Source organism: Homo sapiens, chromosome 6 (assembly GCF_000001405.40).
Source record: "Homo sapiens chromosome 6, GRCh38.p14 Primary Assembly".
In the NCBI taxonomy this organism is placed as follows: Eukaryota; Metazoa; Chordata; class Mammalia; order Primates; family Hominidae; genus Homo; species Homo sapiens.
In genome coordinates, this window is record NC_000006.12 from 24,047,414 (window position 1) to 24,048,597 (window position 1,184).

Below are 1,184 nucleotides of genomic sequence, written 5' to 3' on the forward strand. Positions count from 1 at the left end.
ACATTCTTTAGTATACATCTAGAATATAAGGATTTTTTTCTTAACTAAGTACAATACTTTTGTCATTAACACATCTGAAAAATTAATAATAATTCTCTGATACTTTCTAATATCCAGTATACATTTAGGTGCCCTCAGCTGCCCCCAAAGAGTGTCTTCCAGCTAAGTTGCTCAAACCAGAATCTAATCAATGACCTGCATGAGAGTCTAGCATATTTTAAGCACTGGAAAAACCTTCAGTAAATGAGACAGACAAGGTTCCTGTATTCACAAAGCTTACATAATAGCATAGAAGGAAGACAGTGGTCAAGTAAACAAATAAGATTATTTTAGAGGTAAATGTCACGAAGAAAATAAAATGGGAAGTGAGAGCTAATCGAGATAAAACTTTTCTAAAGAGGTAATTTTTAAGCTGGGTCTAAAATAATGAACAACAACCCAAGCAAGCAAAGATTTCAGGGAAACATATTCCCAGCAGAGGGAACCACTGCCAAGGCCCTGAGGCAATAGGTCTTCTGCCTCAGATGTCCAGCTCCTTCACAATTTCTCTCTCTTTTAAAAACTTCAGGTAAAAATAACTAAAACAACCTGAAAATGTCACCCTTTAGAGAGGTCCTTATTGTTTACCAGGATAAAATAATTTAATACAAAGGGGAAAACTCCAAAAGTAAAATTCCTCCAGGGGACACATTCAAGAAGTAGTGGGCATCTCTCTGTGTCCAAGAAGAACATTCTGACGTAGACAATGGCTACCCAGTTCCACCCAGTCCTCCTCAAGATTCTCAGTGAAAGACGTACTTTGGTGCCAGTTTTTCACACTGAAGTAGGAACTGAAGAACTGAGTAAGACACCATATCTTTTTCCAGCACAAAAATTTCCCATTGCACCAATTTGCCATTCTCCAATGTTTTGAGAGTTGGATTTTTGGAACTGAGACTACATTTCCCTGTGGTAACAATAATATAATTGTAAAGTAGAGCCCTAAGCGAGTCTACAAAAGCCTACCGACTTAAAATGCTGCTCATCTTCTGTAAATTAGCAATGGAAAATAGAATTTTGTCACACTACTGGGAAATCAATAAAAAAAATTGAGTGAAGAAGAATTTATCTTGAATGGCATTGCATAAAGAAAGTCGGATTTAAGAAGAGTTCTTAAGAAGGAAGATTTTGAAGAGAGTTTTTTC